The sequence below is a fragment of the Homo sapiens genome, chromosome 11 (genome assembly GCF_000001405.40).
Source record: "Homo sapiens chromosome 11, GRCh38.p14 Primary Assembly".
NCBI lineage: Eukaryota > Metazoa > Chordata > Mammalia > Primates > Hominidae > Homo > Homo sapiens.
In genome coordinates, this window is record NC_000011.10 from 34,622,789 (window position 1) to 34,640,775 (window position 17,987).

The 17,987-nt window shown below is 44.3% G+C and overlaps 1 protein-coding gene across 31 annotated transcripts in view, besides 1 other annotated feature; it reads left to right on the forward strand.

Annotated features, from left to right (window-relative positions):
* The window catches only part of EHF (ETS homologous factor), a 42,196-nt gene that overhangs the window by 1,696 nt on the left and 22,513 nt on the right, over nt 1-17,987 (forward strand). For 5 of the 31 annotated variants that reach the window (XM_047426754.1, NM_001378051.1, NM_001378047.1 and 2 more), the window contains exon 1: nt 1,469-1,529. The exons of 15 other annotated variants lie outside the window; for them this stretch is intronic. Coding sequence is in view for 3 of the 16 variants with exons in the window: in NM_001206616.2 (NP_001193545.1) it covers nt 9,802-9,864 (63 nt within the window). In the remaining 13 variants the exon portion in view is untranslated. Of the gene's footprint in view, nt 1-86; nt 184-1,468; nt 1,599-8,819; nt 8,841-9,777; nt 9,865-17,987 lie in introns of those variants that run through there. 11 more of the 31 variants (XM_047426756.1, NM_001378045.1, XM_047426761.1 and 8 more) reach the window with 4 other exon arrangements.
* Nucleotides 11,543-11,602: an enhancer, noted in NCBI's record as "active region_4605". NCBI's record gives its function as "activates an Ori minimal core promoter by ATAC-STARR-seq in GM12878 lymphoblastoid cells {active_cell/tissue: GM12878}" and the evidence as "EXISTENCE:reporter gene assay evidence [ECO:0000049][PMID:35858748]".

Consider the following 17,987-nt stretch of genomic DNA (forward strand, 5'->3'; position numbering starts at 1 on the left):
GTCATTTGGAGGTCTGTAGTTGAACTTGAAAAAATAATAAATGTAATGGAGACAATACTTCACCGTGTTTCCAAAATATTTTACAGAGGCATTTTAAATGAAAGTCACTTTGAGGGAACAGCTGTGCTGTAAGTTCTCTTACATGACCGCGCAAGATGGTAGCCTTCATCAAGACCTCTCAAGGTAGTGTGGGTAGGGTGACGTGTTTGATTCAGGCCTCGTTTGTTATGAAAAGGCTCAAATTCAATTGTATTTGTTATTTTTTTGGTTAAAAAGCACCTATTTGTTCAATTCAAACAATCCTTTTTGGTTTTTTTTTGAGATGAAGTCTCCGTCGCCCAGCCTGGAGTGCAGTGGCATGATCTTGGCTGACTGCAACCTCCGCCTCCCAGGTTCAAGTGATTCTCCCAACTCAGCCCCCCGAGTAGCTGGGATTACATGTGCTCGCCACTATGCCCAGTTAAGTTTTGTATTTTTAGTAGAGACGGGGTTTTACCATGTCAGCCAGGCTGGTTTTGAACTCCTGACCTCAGGTGATCCACCTGCCTCAGCCTCCCAAAGTGCTGGGATTATAGGCTTCAGCCACCGTGCCCAGCCATATTGTTTTCATTTTTAATCTATTAGTCTATCGTGATCTCCCAGTGGAAGTATCTTTGGCCTTTGTGGACGTCAGGAAAGCCCTACATTCCCACTCGCGATTCCATGTTTATGGGTACCCTAAATGCTCCCATTAATTGACCAACTTTACCCTGATCTTCTTTCAATATCTTTCTGACTCCTTGAAGGTATGAGACAAAATGGAAACTGAGAGGTTAAAAGGTTTACTAGGTTGCATTCAATTAGCGAATTGGAAACTGGAAGGAGCTCCTATCGGGTCTCAGGTCAGAACGTGAGTGCTTTTGGCCAAAGTTCACTTCTGAGGAAGTAGAATTTCGCTTTCTGGAATCTTGCGATATTTTATTTCCTCTATATCTTTCCCATGCCCCCGACCCACCCAATCTCCACAAATTTGGGGATTTGAGCACTGGGTTGTGATCGTTAGACCATCTTGCTTTTCTGAAAGCCCAGGGCAAGACCCCTGCTTCATGTCACAGTATCAAACACAGACATAGAAGCTTGTACAAATTATTGAGAAGTTATTGTCTTTTCTCCCTTCCTCCATATGGAGTCATCTCTATGCCCTTTCATACAGATGTGATTTACGAAGACCTCTGGGTTAGGGGTGGGGTGGTGAGCAAGAATCCCGTGGCAGAATCTGCTAACACACTTGAGAAGCAATGTTGTGGTTTTAAGGAACTCAATCTAAAGCTTGAACCTGATTTTCAGGGATACCATTTTGCTGCCGTTTCAGCCCATTTCTCTTGTTAAGATCGCTCTCTGGTAGAGTTGACGTGACACTCATTTCTGTTGTGGGTGGGGCCCTGGTTGGGAGGCATTGGCTCCACTGCAGCCTGGGTGTCTAGAGACCACATTCTCACCCTGCCTTTGTTACTGGGAAACCGAACGCGGCGCTGTGGCTTTCAGCTTGGGTAAGCCGGGTCTGCGGCGGGGATTGCCATCTGAAGACAGAGGCAGGAGGGCAGCCACACCTTGCCCAGGTTCTCTTAAATCTCTTGCTCTATAACTGAAAGGAGGGCATAGATAATTAACTTTATTTGACATTTTTCATATCTAATTTTTAAGAATATGATTTTAAAATAATAGATTTGTTCTAAAGAGCAAACAATCTTGCTGTTATTAAAAACGTGTTTACTTAAATTGAACGGGGTTTCAAAGGGCCAAGCTACTAAGCTGTGCAGGAAACAAACAGTGCAGTGAGGAGAATGGCTCCTCACCACAGCTATTCTTAGGGTGGGACATAGTTTCAAGCCAAATGACATTGATGTCCGGAAACCAGGATGTGCTGAAGTAGAAATTTCCAGGGATCCCTCAGAGTTATTTGCTAAAATGTTTATTATTCTTCAGAGGGGGGTGGAAATATTTCTTTAAGAGTCTTCCTTGAAGAATTTTGAACTCCAGCTTTGGAGTGATGGGAGCACAGTGCAGGGAAGGCGGGATGTGAGGTGGTGTGCTGGACGGCAGTCTAGGGACCTGGTCTAGCACTGGCAGAGCTGTGTGTCCCAGAGCACACATTCCCCTTTGCCAGGCTTTAGTTTCCTCCTCTAGGCAAAAGGGTTTGAACCTGACCATCTTTAAGATCCATTTTAACCCTCAGATTCTGTGGCTGTGGTGATTGGGGGTGGTGGGAGTACCTGGGGGTCAGCAGGATAAGCACGAATCTGTGAGAGCTGAGAACAGGTGGGAGAAGCCTTCTAAGGATGAGGCAGGAAAGATTAGCAAGAGCCCTTAAATGGATTCTTTAGGGCCTTCAGAATTTTGGCTAAAGGCTATACTAGTGGAGGTACTAAGACCTGACACCTGGAGCCTTTATTAAGGATGTTAGAATCCACTCCCATGACAACATCCCAGCTTTGCCAATTTGCCTCATGTGTCTCAAGCTGGTGGGAATGTAGAAGTGGATGAAACAGACTGTTTTGTGATGGCAGGGAACAGCCTATGCACAGGGGCAGGTGCTCTACTGGTGTCTTCTATAAAACGCCAAAGCAGCCCGCCAGAAAATGGACATTTAGGCACTCGTGGTGTCTACTGAGTTTGTATGGTACTGATGAGCTTGCTTGACTGATTATCCATGACTTACTGAGTAGATCGAACGTATGTGGACTCACTTCTCCTAGAGGAAGACCCTGTGGCTGCCCCAGCCACTGAGCAGCCTAACCTGGAGACCCTGATGTGCCCAGAAAGCGTCAACCTTGTATCTGGAGAAACCAGAACTTGCAACAGGGCCAAGCAGGGTGGCCCATTTAAAGAGGCTCCTAGGGTTTTAATTGACCTTGTTTTAAAAGAGACACCCTGTAAAATACTCCTATGAAAACTTATTTCACAAGCACCTAACCGCATTCTGTCTTTGGTTTGTTTTACGGGGCCGGGCCCCTTGTTCTGGTCAATTGGTCTGCATTATCTCTCCTCCTCCAATCTCACCACACACCCTGGCCTCTGGGAGGCTTCCTCCCTTCTTTTTTTTTGTTTGTTTTGTTTTTTTAGCATCTTAGTTGTTACTAGGGGTACTTGCCTACTTATTTAAAATATGGCCAGTATAGGTGCATACAAAATGTGCTTTCTGATTAAAACAAAGCCAAAAATAAAAAGAAACCAAAATGCCTATTATAGTAGTTGGATTTTTAGACTAACAGACCACCTCATTAACCCTGTCATTTTACCATAACAACTTATTTTTATCTTTGTATGACCTTGTCTCAATGTCCTTTTTCTTTGATGTTGTTGCAATTATGAACATCAAATTTCATAGCTGCTTTTCCACCCCACTTTCTATCACAGAAGCACAATAAATAATCTTGGGGGCTGGGCTCTTGTTGGCCCAACTGTGGCTTCAAAACATTTCAGTTGCCTGTCCAGCCCTTTCTTAGCCTGATACAACATCCCCCAAAAGTCTGTTGAGCTTTTCCTGGAATAAGAAGAGGGTCTTCTACTTTTTGAATAGAGCAATGGAGATTGGAGAATATGGTCATCTTGTGGAGGTTATTCCAGGCTTCTTCTTAGGAACCTTAAAAAAAATCTCCTCAGTAGGGCTGATGATATATTCTGGACAATAAGGTGAGCAGAGTCTGAAAGATGAGAGCAATTTTCAATCTTGTCATGATTTCATCTAGTCAGCCTCATTTCATCTAGTCATGAGGCTGACTAATGATAAGACTTGCTTTGTCTTTGCAGTGTACTCTAGATTTGACTCTAAATTCAGCCTCTGTCTTGATCATGCCCACTTAGAAAATTAGAGTGCAGCTAGCTCACCTTTTAGTCATCTTAATTCCACTAGGCAGAAGGCTGTGGGTCAAGGAATGTTGATGGAGTAAAATTTGACTGCATGTGTATCTGAAGGGGTAGGAGGCTAAGAGATTTTATGGCTTGGAAGCTGCTGAGATGTGGTGTAAAGAACACTGGACTTAGAGTCCAGACACCTGAGTTTAAGCTGGACTCTACCACTGGGTAGTTGAATGACTTTGAGTGAGTTATATAAGCTCTAGCATCTAAGTTTTCTCATCTGGAAAATGGAGTTAATAACATCTACTGCATTGGGCTGTTGTAAAGATTAAATTAACAAAGAATGTGAAAGCACCTGAACAAAAGCTTGTGAGTAAATAATTAGTAATTTGTGGAATGAACATCAAGGGAAGTCTTCAATTTGGGTGTTTTCAGTGAGTTTCTGTTGGGTCAGAGTGAATGGATATTAAATTCTGGGATTTTGGTTTGTGTGTGTGTGTGTGTGTGTGTGTGTGTGTGGCGATCAACATTGGTTCTTCACTGTGACCTTAGGAAAGAAATGCAATAGGGTTTTTATTGGGAAGGTGGGTAGCAGGGAGATGCATGAACCATATTAAGGGGGGACCTCCAAATTGAACCTTGTTTTGAGTCAACTGCAAACCACAACCAAGGAGGTCCTGGGAGACCTGGGGTGACTTGGGGTGATTGGGTATGCAGCACATTCCTGTTCTTGTGTCCTGATGCCTGGCAAGTAGGGACCTGCAGAAAATACTGATTCTCCTCCAGGCAGTTCACATGACTAGCTTTTAGGAGTGAGTATACCGTTGCCCACCCCTAAAATTCTTGATCATGTCTCCAGATGTCTACTGACCACTGATGCTGAGGTCATGAATCTTGGGCATTCTAGAGGCTTTGGGAAAAAAAATTCTACTTACTTCTTTTGCCCAGACACTCTGGGGTCTACCTCTTGGTAAATTATTCAAATGAGGTTTCTGGTCATGCAAATGTGGTTTCTAGAGCCTATTTGAATTGAACAAGTAGTTCTTATTATTAGTAAAACAGCAAGGATCCCTAACTTGGGGTCCAAGGGTAAATTCAGGGTTTCTGTGAACTTGGATGTAAAAAAAAATTGTCTTTATTTTCAATAATCTCTAACTAGAATTTAACATTTTCTTTCAATATGAATGTAGGCAAAACTCCATGGTAGTATTAGCTGCAATTGTGACTATCACCAGGATAAATCACATTTTCATGTCTTATTACACCTATTACATATATCACAAAAAGTGGGTATTTGATATCAAGTTAGATCTGCACTAGGTAGATATTCTTATTTAATGTATTAACAAGGAAGCACATATATTGTTATCAGGTTGGTGCAAAAGTAATTGTGGTTCTTGCCATTAAAAATAATTACAAAAACAGCCAGTCTGGCCAACATGGCGAAACCCCATCTCTACTAAAAATACAGGTGTGGTAGCACACACCTGTAATCCCAGCTACTTGGGAGGCTGAGGCAGGAGAATCATTTGAACCTGGGAAGCAGAGGCTGCAGTGAGCCAAGATCACACCACTGCACTCTAGCCTGAGCAACAGAGTGAGACTCTGTCTCAAAAAAATTAAAAAATAAAAAAAAACTCTGTAATTACTTTTGCACCAACATAATATGATATCACACATTTATTTTAAAAAGTATTTTGACATTGTCTTTTAATATAAATTTTTTTAAATCTTATAATATTTTAATTTGTCATGTAAAAATATTATTTTGAGAAGAGGCCTGTAGGCCTCACTAGATTACAAAACAGATCCATCGTACAGATGAAAGGTTAAGAACACCTCATTTACAGCATTCTCTCACACACGACTAACGAAATGACTTCTGAACAGCGCCAGTTGATAGATGTTCTCTGCCAAAAGGGGAATATGATCTTCCCATATGTTCCTGCCTATGGGTAGCCTTGGAGTTGTGAAGGGACTTTGGCATAATGAAGATGATAATAAGAATGATAATGGTAATTTGTTGAGTGCCTGCTGTAAGCCAGGTGGTTACAGTCCTGTTCAATGTCATGTTTAGTTTAATCCTCCCAATGACCTCAGGAGGTAGTGCATGGAACAAAGACAGAAGAGATCCCCTGCCCACCCACGGTAATGAAACATGGGTACAGGTGAAGGCAAAAGTGGGGACTGACCCTTTGGAGATGGCTGATGTCACGAGTGTGCAACCTGTGCAGTTCCACGGGGCCCCATGCTTAGAAAGGTTCCATGTTTGGTTTAAGGCTCTGCTGTTGCCATCTTAAAATTCTTCGTAAGTTTTGAACAAAGGGCCCTGCATGTTCCTTTTACACTGAGCTCTGCAAATGATGTAGCTGGTCCTGCCTCTGGTTATGGTGAAATGGAATGTATGACAACTCCTGAGACTGGGAGTCTGGGAAGCTGCTGCGGAGAGCCCTCTCCTCATTTTCATCAGGCTCAGCTACGCAACCTCTGGTGGAAAGCTATGGCCTGTTGAGGAGGGAGGATGTCGTTTTTGAGTTAGTGAGTTTTCCAGTTTTGTTTGAGCTCCAAAGCTTTCCTCCAAACAACTGGAAAGATGGCTGAATAATTGGCTGAAAGGGATTTAATCCCTTGAAAAACCTTTCTGGTAGGGAGTTGCTGGCAATACTGGTGGGTTTTTCATGATTTTATTTTACAGAGGGCTTGCTACGTAAACCAGTGAGCCAGGAGAAACAGAATAAAGTCTGTTCTGGAAGGAAAAATGAGACCTGGTGTGCCACGAGTCTAGTGTTCTCATAGGAAGGCTCTAAAAACAAACTCAGCTTTCCTGCTATTGAATGATTATCTCTATAAAAGGAAACTTTACTTCTTCTAAAGGAGAGGTCGTCTAATTTGTGAGAAAATTCAGATGTTATTTGCTTCTTAAGCTGCAAGGATGCTAATGAAATAATTCTCATGAAGTTCTGTTGGTGTTTTAGGGCTAAGTTTTTATAGACTGTTCCAAAATTCAAAACAGGGATGTGGACGTAGTGATGGTGGAAGAGGGGAAGACTTTTCCTCGATTTCTTTGCCTGAGGGATGGAATTCAGGCTCCCCCAATAACATATTCATGGTCTTTCTCTGGTCAGTCAGTGATGTTCATAACACAAGCAAGCCTGTCATCAGGACCAATCTGTGATGGCTGAGACATCAGGTGCTCTTCCAAAAGAGCCATAATTCACCCTTCATTTCCCAAGGTTTTTTTTTTCTTGCTGTTATTACTGCTCTTTTATCATGGTTAATAAGTCTGAGGTGGCTTCAGACAGCCAGTCCTAACCCCTGAGTCAATCTGGGGCCTCTAACAGGAAGCCAGACTGAAGTTCTGATAGATGGGTTTGAGTGGCTGTGAACTGTGTTTCTGTAGCATCCAGACTGATTTGCACTGAAAGGGAGCTTCCATATTAGGGTACAAGGATGATCAATATGTCTCCTGTTTATATTTGGTGGAAAAAGTTGTGGGAATCGTGCTTAAAGGATCTCAACTTTGAAATTAAAAGTATAACGTCCTAACAGACATCCTCCTTCTCTTTAGAAACACAAGGATCCATTTTCAAGTAATTTCAAAAGAACTATGTTGCTTTCCCCACCCCTTCCCAAGTACACTTATTATAATATATCCAGTCCATTTGCTAGCTTTGTGTCTTTAGAAAAGTTGCTTAACCTCTCTCTGTAAAATGGTGCTTATATTAGTACTAACATTCAGGGTTATTGTGAGGATTAAATGAGGTAATTCATGTAATGACTAGTTCTATTTCTAGCACAATTTAAACCCTCAACAAATATGAACTATTATCACTGTCATAGTTTTTGTTGTTGTTTTCTAATTATATAATCTTCAAGATTCTGAGATGGGGGCTGTTGCTCTTTCCTTGACTTGAACATCTTGGTCTTTTCCTAGGAGGAAACTTGACTCTTGAAATGGTCAAATCCATTGTCCTAGTTCATCCTGACCCCTCCCTGGCTCCAATCCCCACCCCTTACCGTCCTCCACCCTTCCTACATTCCTGCACAGTTGGTCTTATTTATCAGTCAACTAAGGGTGTTGTTAAATCTTTTATTTTTCTGCTGCCCGATTTGGTTCTAAGCACTCCACTCCCTACGCTGCTCATAACAAGAATGCCTGGGAACGCTCAGTCAGCCATATCCCTCCCCTGTCGGAACACCCAGTTCTTAATGCTCCTGGAGAGGCAACATTTCTGAGGCCCCACTGCCATAAGCCCCCCTCCCCCATGAAGCCAGTGGTCTGGTAGTAATGAACCCCCAACGGCCCGGAGAACACTGGGGCAAGGTGTTTGTCTGGGGAAATGTTGCATGTTGCCTTGACTGTGCTTTCTTCTACAAAGCTTAAAAAGAGATATTATATTATTTTATTTTTATTTTTATTTTTGAGATGGAGTCTTACTTGGTTGCCCAGGCTGGGTGTGCAGTGGCACAGTCATGGCTCACTGCAACCTCCACCTCCTGGGTTCAAGTGATTCTCCTGCCTCAGCCTCCCAAGTAGCTGGGACTACAGGCACATGCCACCATGCCTGGCTAATTTGTATATTTTTAGTAGAGACGGGGTTTCACCATATTAACTACATTGGTCTTGAACTCCTGACCTCAAGTGATATGCCCGCCTCGGACTCCCAAAGTGCTGGGATTAAAAGCATGAGCCACTGCGCCCGGCCAAAAAGAGATATTCAAAAGCTCCCTCTGACTGTGTGTGCTGAAGGCTGAGTGCTGATGCCATTGCTTAATTAATGTTGTTCATGATCTCCATTTGGGCGATTTGTTTAGCTCCTTGTGGCCCTTTTTGGACTTAGCTTATCATGTGACATTGACAAATTAATGAGAAGTGAGCATGTGATGATGCTTGGATTAGGACAGAAATCACATCTAGGACATCTCAGGCCCTTTCCACCTGGGACCTGAGGCCTCAAATCTCTTGGCAGGAGATGAGTGGGTCTACACAGCCCGATTTTGAGGTAGGTGTGGCTAGCCTCATTTATGCGATGGGAAAACTGTGGTCCGGGAACCAGGGGTTTTCAAATTATGCTTTTTGCCCAGGGCTGGATGTAGGATGTCTGGGGGAGAGGCTTGACTGAGATCTGGGTACACTGAGCCTCCACTTTAGGAGGTAACCTAGAGACTACACCTACTCCCTAAACTGTATTGACTTTTGGAAGTCAACCATTTAGAAGAGTGTGGTTTTGGTTTCGATCGTATCCCAGCAGTCTTTTCTCTGCCCTTGTTAATCTGATTCATGATCTGAACCTGGGCTGGCTGGAGGCTGGCCATGTCACTTTGCAGACCATGGACACCCCTGAGTGCCCTCACAGAACCAGCCAATGGAAAAGTACAACGTCTTCTGGCTTCTCAGCCTTGCCATCTCCCTCTGGCCTATTTGATACCCCCTTTTATATTGAGGGAGTGAAAATGTAGCATCCAAACTGAAAACGCAGGTTTTTCTTTGGTTTTTATAGGAAAAACAAATTGGCATGAACACTCAGTCAAACCAGCTCAGGCTGTTTGGGCAGATGCCTTTCTTTGCTTTTTTCTGTTTATTTTCCTACAAATCAATGCTTAACTGCGTTGTTATCGGAGCAGAGCAACAGGTGCAAAAAAATAACTCTGCTGCCAACTCAAATGAAAAGGTAGGGCTTATACCCTCTGGGAGGTATTCAGAAGATAACAGAAGCCCCTGCCAGCAACTGAATTAACAGCTCTGTTTACGGTGGGTTTTATGTTAACAACCTGCTCCTGACCCTCCTACACATAAACACACCATTGTCTCAGAGAGAGACATTCAGCCATCCAGACAACCCACTGCTTTATTCTGCCCTGAGTGGAGATTGGTTTTGGCTCAGGCTGCTTTGTGAAACTCAGAAGCATTATCCTCTCTGCCAACTCCACGTCCTAGTCAGAGTTTTCTGTGAAGGCAAGGGCATGGGGTTGCCGGAGAGAAGAGGATTGGTCCTGCTTTTAAGCCTAGCTGAAATTCTTTTCAAGGTTGGTCATTCTCAAATGCCAGAGAGGGTTGCCCGGCTCTCTCTGCTCTTGCCCCATTCCATTCACAACAGGAGGTGGGGAATGAGCTCAGATGACTTTGGAAGGAGCCACTATTATTTTGGAAGCCGTGTCCTTGTGAATAGTCCATCAGGGTAGGGCAGCGTCTATGTTTTGTTAACTATTGTATCGCCAGCACCTAGCAAAGTGCCCAGCATCTAGTAGACACTTGGTAAATATGTATGAATTACAGAGGGTCTGAGACAATATTGTAATGGCCGGATAAGCATTTCTTGGTAATAGTTTCTTTCTGCTGAAAGCTGAGAGACTAATTGTCTTCTGTATGAGGGCTTAAGTCCAGGGTAATTAAGTAATCTTTTGAAGGACTGAGATGGAGGTGGGATGGGGTTAGGGTGGCTTGGCCAGCCTTGAGATGCTCCTGATGCAAGTAACCATCAGAGAGATCCTCTGCAAGCGCTATATTCTGGGGCCAGATTTGTCTGTTCGGACTTCAGAACTCATACTTTTGAGTATCCAATTATTGTTGAATTTGACCATTTGGTATTAATAGAACTAAGCAATTCCCTCAAGTTGGCAAATAATATAATAGTAGGTTATCTGCAGATGGATTAGAGGTTGAATTCTCTACATTGAATCTTTTGTCTCTAACTTTATAAGGACTTGCTTGCATTTATGGACATTTCTTTCAAGGCTGGTATCTCCTGGAGTTGATCATCTTGTGGTGGGAAAGGGAAGGGAGGCAAGTGGGTAAGTCTATATAGACCAGAAAATCTCAATGGCGAGAGTGTTCAAGACTTCGTTAAGGGAGGTTCTCAGAAATGCAGATTTTAGTTTAGAGATCTGGGGTTTCAGTAGCCAAACATTGTTGACTCTAACAACATGGGGGTACTGAGCATTAGGACCTATTTTATTTCAAGTTGGCAAATAATACAGTGATAGGTTGTCCACAGAGGCCCACAGAAAACAAGCAAAACCAGGAGGATGTAAATGTTTGGAAGAAGAGGAGAGTCAAAGTTTCTTTTGAGGCCTCAAAAGCCTCTGTGATGTTTTACAATCTGAAGCTTGCCCTATTCTTAATCATATCTGATGGGTTTGATAAAGGCCCTGGGGGTCATCTTAGGCAAGCTTGTCTTTTGATCAACTTGAGTGCCTGCCACTGTCAGTATGTGCTGCCTAGCCTGGGTCTGACACCAAGACTGATAAAGATCAGCATACTATGTATATTTCCAAATGGCTTACAGTCAATAAAGTGTACCTATAATGGATCCAGACTTGGCCTCCCAGTGCTGCATTATTGGTCATGAAAACCCTTGAAACCCCAGCAATAATACCTCAGATGTTGCCCCTGGGAACGTGAAAAATGTCTGTTTCAAAACACATTATAAGGCTATGAAATTATCTGTGATGTAATCCCAAGAGAATCAAATACATTCCCCAAGCTTGATTCACAATTCAATTCATTTGTAAAAACACAAATGATTGTATGTATTATATTCAGTTGCCTTTCACATGTACATGGATTTTTTTTTCTCTTATTTGGGAGTAGTCCTTTGAAACGACAGTCATATTGAAACAGGAAGTCAGTAAGCTGTTGCAACATCCTTAGGGCAAATGCTGTGAATTCACCTGCTGGTAACTTTGATTAAGGACTGAGAATGGTGTGGGTATCGCTGTCATCACAAAAGTAATTATTTAAAAGGACTAATTGCTCCTTTGGCTTCAGAGGTAAAAATGCCCACATGGCAGCCAGTTCTGTGGCAGTTTGGGGATAATGTGGTTGGATGAATAAGGGAGCTAGGAAGAAGGCTGATGGTGGCCTTGACTCTCAATCCCCTGGGGCTGGGGACAGGGAATGCAGGTGCAAGCCCTGGTTAAGATCTGCTCCGTGGCCCTGGTGGTTCCCAGTGTACCTTCACCCTTGCAGCAGGAGCAAACCATGCTGTCTGGCCTGAGGTCTGATTCAGGTAAAGCATAAACAATTATGGACCAGTCGATTTCCCAAATACAAAATTAAAATAACTTTATTGAGTCATAGGGGGATAATTTACATTATATATGCACGTATGTATTTATGCATGCATATGAATATATATACATATATTTGTATATAAGCTTGATAAAGGTGTAAGGCAGCAGACGGCACAGGGAGAATGCTGTGACCATGTCTAGAATGGGAGTCAAAGTGAGAATGAGTCTTCTCTGGCAAAGCACCCTCTTCTCAGCAGAGAGTGGCCCAGTTCCCAGGTTTTATTGCAAGACAATCTGAGTTTGAATTCTCTTCCAGTTCCAATTCTTTCTAAACTGTGTGACCTTGAACAAGTCACCTAACTCCTCTGTGCCTCAGAGAGGCCATCTGTTAAATGACATAATGCCTCCTAGAGTTGTTGTGAGCATTGATTGAGATAATCTGTTTAAACCAGCAGTGCAGAGCTGGTACATTTTAAGTGTTCAGTAAGTCCTAATTACTATAATATAGTTATTATTATTATTTTTAAAGTGTTTAATCCTGAGTCTCAGTAGCCCCATCACTGAGCAAAAGAAAGACCTCCCTCCAGCTGAGCAGGCCCAAGCTGGCCTGCGTTGGTCTCTTCTGGAAGGTTCGCTCTGTATATTTAAGAAGGGAGGCCAGTGGAGCAGTCCTTGGGCTTGTTAGGAATCCCGAGGCTGAGCAGAGCCTCCTGGGTCTTGGGATGTGTGGTTCCAGTTCCCTGCCAGTGGCCCAGGGTTTTTTCTTGCTTTTCTGTCCCTATTAGCCCTAGCCCCAATCCGAAACCTTATTCTTTTTTTTTTTTTTTTTTGAGATGGAGTTTCACTCTTTTTGCCCAGGCTGGAGTACAATGGTGCGATCTCAGCTCACTGCAACCTCTACCTCCCGGGTTCAAGTGATTCTCCTGCCTCAGCCTCCCAAGTAGCAAACCTTATTCTTTGCAGTATTTGAGCATTCTCTGTGCTAAGGGACTCAGAGGAAAGAGAAACCTTTAGCCGTTCTCTATCAGGAGCTTGCGTTTTAGACATGCTGCTCTTCCTGGTCTTTTTTTTTTTTTTTTTTGCACCTCCAAACCAGCTATGGTATGTGGGAGTGCAAAGCCTTTGACAACACAGAGCTTAGGAGCATATGCCTTACCACTGTTCTTGGCAGCCTTGGCAATGTGTCTAGTGAGAGGAAGAGGGACAGGAGGGATGGCTTTCGTCCTTTGGGTAAGAACTGTGCCCAGCCAGAGGGGAACATCATGGCTTCTGCAAGCAGAGTCCAAGCCCCGCTGTTTATAGTTCAGCCATAATGGTACGTCTACACAGCAGCTCTCGGAATAGGGAGTGGGGAGGCATGAGATCTAGTCCTAGGCTCCACTGTGCCAGTCAGCCAGAACTGGAGAAGACTGTACAGATAAGAGAGCTTTGAAGCTTTGCTCGAAATGAACTTGGCTCTCAATTTCCTCCTTGAGAGTTCAATAAAATAAAAACTACAAGTATGATTATGATTATTATAAAAACCAGCAAACATTTATCAAATACTTACTATGTGTCATGCTTTTCCAAGCATTTTACAGGTATCATTTCATTGTTGTCTTTCGACAACACTTTTCATGTCATCTCTACTTTATAGATGAGGAAACTGAGGTCCTGAGAAGTTAAATAACTTGTCCAAACTTGCCCCATTAGGAAATTGGCAAAGCCAGGATTTGATCTGTGGCCATGTAACTCCAGAGCCTGGGGCTCCCAACCATGATCCTGCTTCTGAGGAGTCTACTCCTACCACAAGGATGTCCCCAGTGCCAGCCAACACAGTTTAAACAGAGACTCATGGGCAGACCCTCTAATAAGCATAGACATTGACTAGACACTTGCTACATATGAGACGTTATGCTGGGGACTTTACAAATAATCTCATTTAGTCCTCATATTAGCTCCACCTTCCAAAGTGGAATTTTGTTATGTGGGGAGACTGAGGTGGTAGAGAGGATAGAAATTCTCCAAGGTCAACATAGCCCACCAAGCCACAGTACCAAGATTTCAACCCTGGCCGTTTGAATCATGAGCCCTTATTCTTTTAAGAGCTTCCCTCAAGACATGTGGCACCACGGCCGGGCCCGGTGGCTCACGCCTGTAATCCCAGCACTTTGGGAGGCCAAGGCAGGCAGATCACCTGAGGTCAGGAGTTCGAGACCAGCCTCAACATGGAGAAACCCAGTCTCTACTAAAAATACAAAATTAGCCGGGCGTGGTGGTGCATGCCTATAATCCCAGCTACTTGGGAGGCTGAGGCAGGAGAATTGCTTGAACCTGGGAGGTGGAGGTTGTGGTGAGCCGAGATTGCGCCATTGCACTCCATTCTGGGCAACAAGAGCGAAACTTCATCTCAAAAAAAAAAAAAAAAAAAAAGACATGCGGCACTACTAGGCTGCTTTTCAAGCTCCTCACACTCTTGAATGTGTCCTCTCAACTCAGCTTTTAGTGGGATTCAGTCTCTGTGGCTAGGCTTTACCTTCTGCTATGCCCATATTTGCCACCGACCAGCAGCCAAAATAGGAGACTCTTAAACTTTAGGGTTAGACCAAGTGCTCTGTTCCCCCTGCTCCCCTTCATGGGTCCAGGCTGTGCATGGTGGTCAGGGTGGTGCTTTTCTGGAAGCAAGCCCTTGGCGAAGCAAGCCTGGAGAAGCAGGCGCATGGGGCTGGGATGTGTCTCTGTGTGGCTGGCACAGAAGCAGTCCAAGTGCTTGGCAACTCAGGGCACTGCGGGAGTTTGTGTGTACCTGAAACTGCCCTTAAAAGAAGTGAGATGCGGAGGCTGGCCTATCTCCCGCCATGTCTCAGGCTGGTCATTTAGCACAGAACAGTGCTTTCTTGCTGCAAAAAGAATTTCAGATTGGCCAAGCCCCAGTGGCCCATAATTTTAGGGGAGCTTATGGCACATTGTAGGGGACTTGCTGCCTAAGGCTAAATAGGTCTTGGCAAGAAGCCTGGCATGTTGTACTTGCCAGTTCTTCAGTCTATTGGGTAGCACACAGGGCTCCTTCTCTTCAAATAAAGAGTACGATTCTGCCCCACAACTGTGAGTCTTACAAACTTCTGCCCAAAGAGGTGAAGTTTGGGAAAAATGTCAACCTCTGGACAATCAGTAGTGTCTCAAAATCAAATACACTTCCCTCCAATTGTTCCTACCTATGAAAAAGGATAGGGAAATATATATGAAAAAAATCTCAGGATAATCTACATTTCATTTCACTCCTTTTTTTTTTTTTCCTTTTTGAGTCAGAGTCTCGCTCTGTTGCCCAGGCTGGAGTACAGTGGCTCGAGCTCGGCTCGCTGCAACCTCTGACTCCTGGGTTCAAGCGATTCTCCTGCCTCAACCTCCCGAGTAGCTGGGATTACAGGCATGCACCACCACACCCAGCTAATTTTTGTATTTTTAGTAGAGACAGGGTTTCACCATGTTGGCCAGGCTGGTCTCGAACTCCTGACCTCAAGTCATCCACCCGCCTCGGCCTCCCAAAGTGCTGGGATTACAGGCGTGAGCCATCGCACCCGGTCACACTTCACTCTTTGAGTTTGAAATAAGAGGTATAGTTTTTCTTTGTGTGTGCAGTTTGTAATAGCTCAGGTAATAATTTATACAATCTCCCCAGAATACATACCACCTGGGAACAGACAAAGGTGGCTCTGATACCCAGTGTATTCTCTTAAACCTTCACAGATCAGGCAATTACTCTATAGGTACCAGGCACTCTGCTGTGGGCTTTGAGGTGCCTTGTCTCATTTAACCCTCCAGCAAGCCTATGCCTATTCTCCGGGAGAGGAAATGGCACCCAGGAAGGCTAAGGGACAGCCTAAGTTTGTCACGTCAGTAAGAGCAAAGCCTGAGCTGTCTGCCTCCACAAGCTTTTAACCAGTATTCTCCACTGGGGGTGGTTTTTGCCTCAGGGACATGGTGTGTGTGGAGGGGGTGCTGCTGGCATCTAGAGGGTAGGGGCCAGGGGTGCTGCTACACATCTTACAATCCACAGGCCAGCCCCCACAGAAGGGATTGTCCACATTTCAGTGGTGGAGAGGTTGAGAAACTCTGCTTTTAACCACTACCTAGGGTGGCTGAGGATTCCTCCTCTGCCTCCCCATCCGAGGTTCCTGCCTCCAGCAGAAGATGGGGAGAAGTGAGTTCTTTTCCCAGCTTGCTTTTGACTCCCAGGGTGGAGTCATTCTCACTTAGGCTCTGAACTGGGGATTCAGTCCTGGAAGAAATAAAATGTGTTAGAGGAACACCTTGAGAATTAATGTTTAAAGAAGGGAAAGGAAACTGATTTTGATGGGGGACATGTTTGCCAGGGGCTAGACAAGACACCTTTAGACCCATTATAATTATTTATCTTTCAAAACAGCCCTTAGGCTTAGGAGAAACAAATACTCCCCCGCAACCCCCTCCAGCTCTCCCATTTCTAAACCAGTGCGAGAAATGGAGGCTCAGAAAGGTTAACGTGCTCAAGGTCACATGGCTGAAAGATGGGACCTAGAGTCTAACCCAGGAATCTCAGATTCTGAAGTCTCTACTTCCACACATTTGATGGTATTTTTTTTTTAAGGAAAATAATGAAAGCTATGCTGAAAGCAAAGTAGGGAGCTGAAATAAGAGCATTCAATAATTCCCCTACTTTCTAATTAAAAGGATTGCTTTTTATACCCCAGAAAGCAATTACTATATACTACAGAAAGTCTACATTAGCATATGGGAGTATGGGTGAGTTCGTTATAATAAGGTTTTTTTACAATTCTCAAGTCACATTTGTTATCCACGATCTCATTCCATCTCAACAGTCCTGTGAGGCTGTTGGGGCAAGTGTCTTCACTCTACGCCTGAAAAACTATGCCTCAGAGGAGGGTAGGACTCGGCCAAAGCCCTTCTGCTACACTGGCCCTGGGCCTCATGTGCCCACCCTGAGGACATCTTTCCCTGCAGCTCCCTGCCCAGTTGGAAATGCTGACCTTCTTTGCTTACAAGCCCAGGTGAGCTCAAGCGAACTCTGACTCACTAAGGGTTAAGCCACACAAACTCTTTTATGAGTGGAAACCACTTAATGTGCCCTGTAAAAAAGGGCCCCTCACCATGCTGGCTGCTTTCCCTTGGAAAGGGAGTGCCAGCAGGGAGCAGGGCTATGCACAGGCCATCTTTTTGCAGGAGGATGGTGATGGGGCAGCTGCCACCCTGTAGTCTTAAAGGCATCTCTGGGGGTTGGGAGAAGTTCTGGATGTTTCCAGAAGGTCATGGTGGAAAATGACGTCGGCCCTGAGGAGAGGGGCTTGTGGGCATTTGGCCACAGGTGGAGAACTGGCCCATATTGTTCTGCAACATTTATTAAATTCTTTTTTTTTTTTTCACTACTTGCCAAGCTCTCTATGTGCATGACCTCATTTGATTCTTACAGCCCTTTGAGTTTGGTGTTGTTCCCATTTATCAGGTACAGAAAGTGAGGAACAGAATGTTTGCGGCTAGACAGATTTGGCACTGGTTCAGGGTCACCCACAGTAAGCAGGGGAACTGGAATCTGAGCCTGCATCTCTCCAGCTCCAAAGCCTGGGTGCACAGCCTCCACGCCACCCTGCTTTCTGCTTGTCAGGAAGCATAGCTGGCCCAGGCAGGTGCTGCCACTGAAATGACCACTTTGAAACAACCCTGCAGGCAAATCCTTGTGAAAGAATTTGAGAGAAGCCTTTCCCTGCCTGTCCTCCCTAAGCCTGGAAGGCCAATCCCTCCATGCAAATGGGCTGGGCTCTGAGCTTCAGCCCTTTCAGGGTTAAACAGTAACCTTTCCACTGCTTGTGGTTGAGCAAATGCTAGCAAGGAACAAGCCCAGCCTTGAGCAAACAAGACACTGGGCCCTGGGCCCCCCTCCTTCCACCAGCCACCCGGTCTGGGGACTTAGAGATTTTCTTTCGTCTTGAAGTTCCCAATCTGATTTCTTAGCTTTAGGGCAATTGCTCTACAAAGTTGGATGGGAAAATACCCAGTTATTATGAAAAAGGAAAGAAGGTTTGACTTGAGGTTGTTTTCTTTCTCTGAGGGTGAGAATCAAAGAGCTTTTCAGAAAAGGAACTTATGATCAGTATAGTCACCAT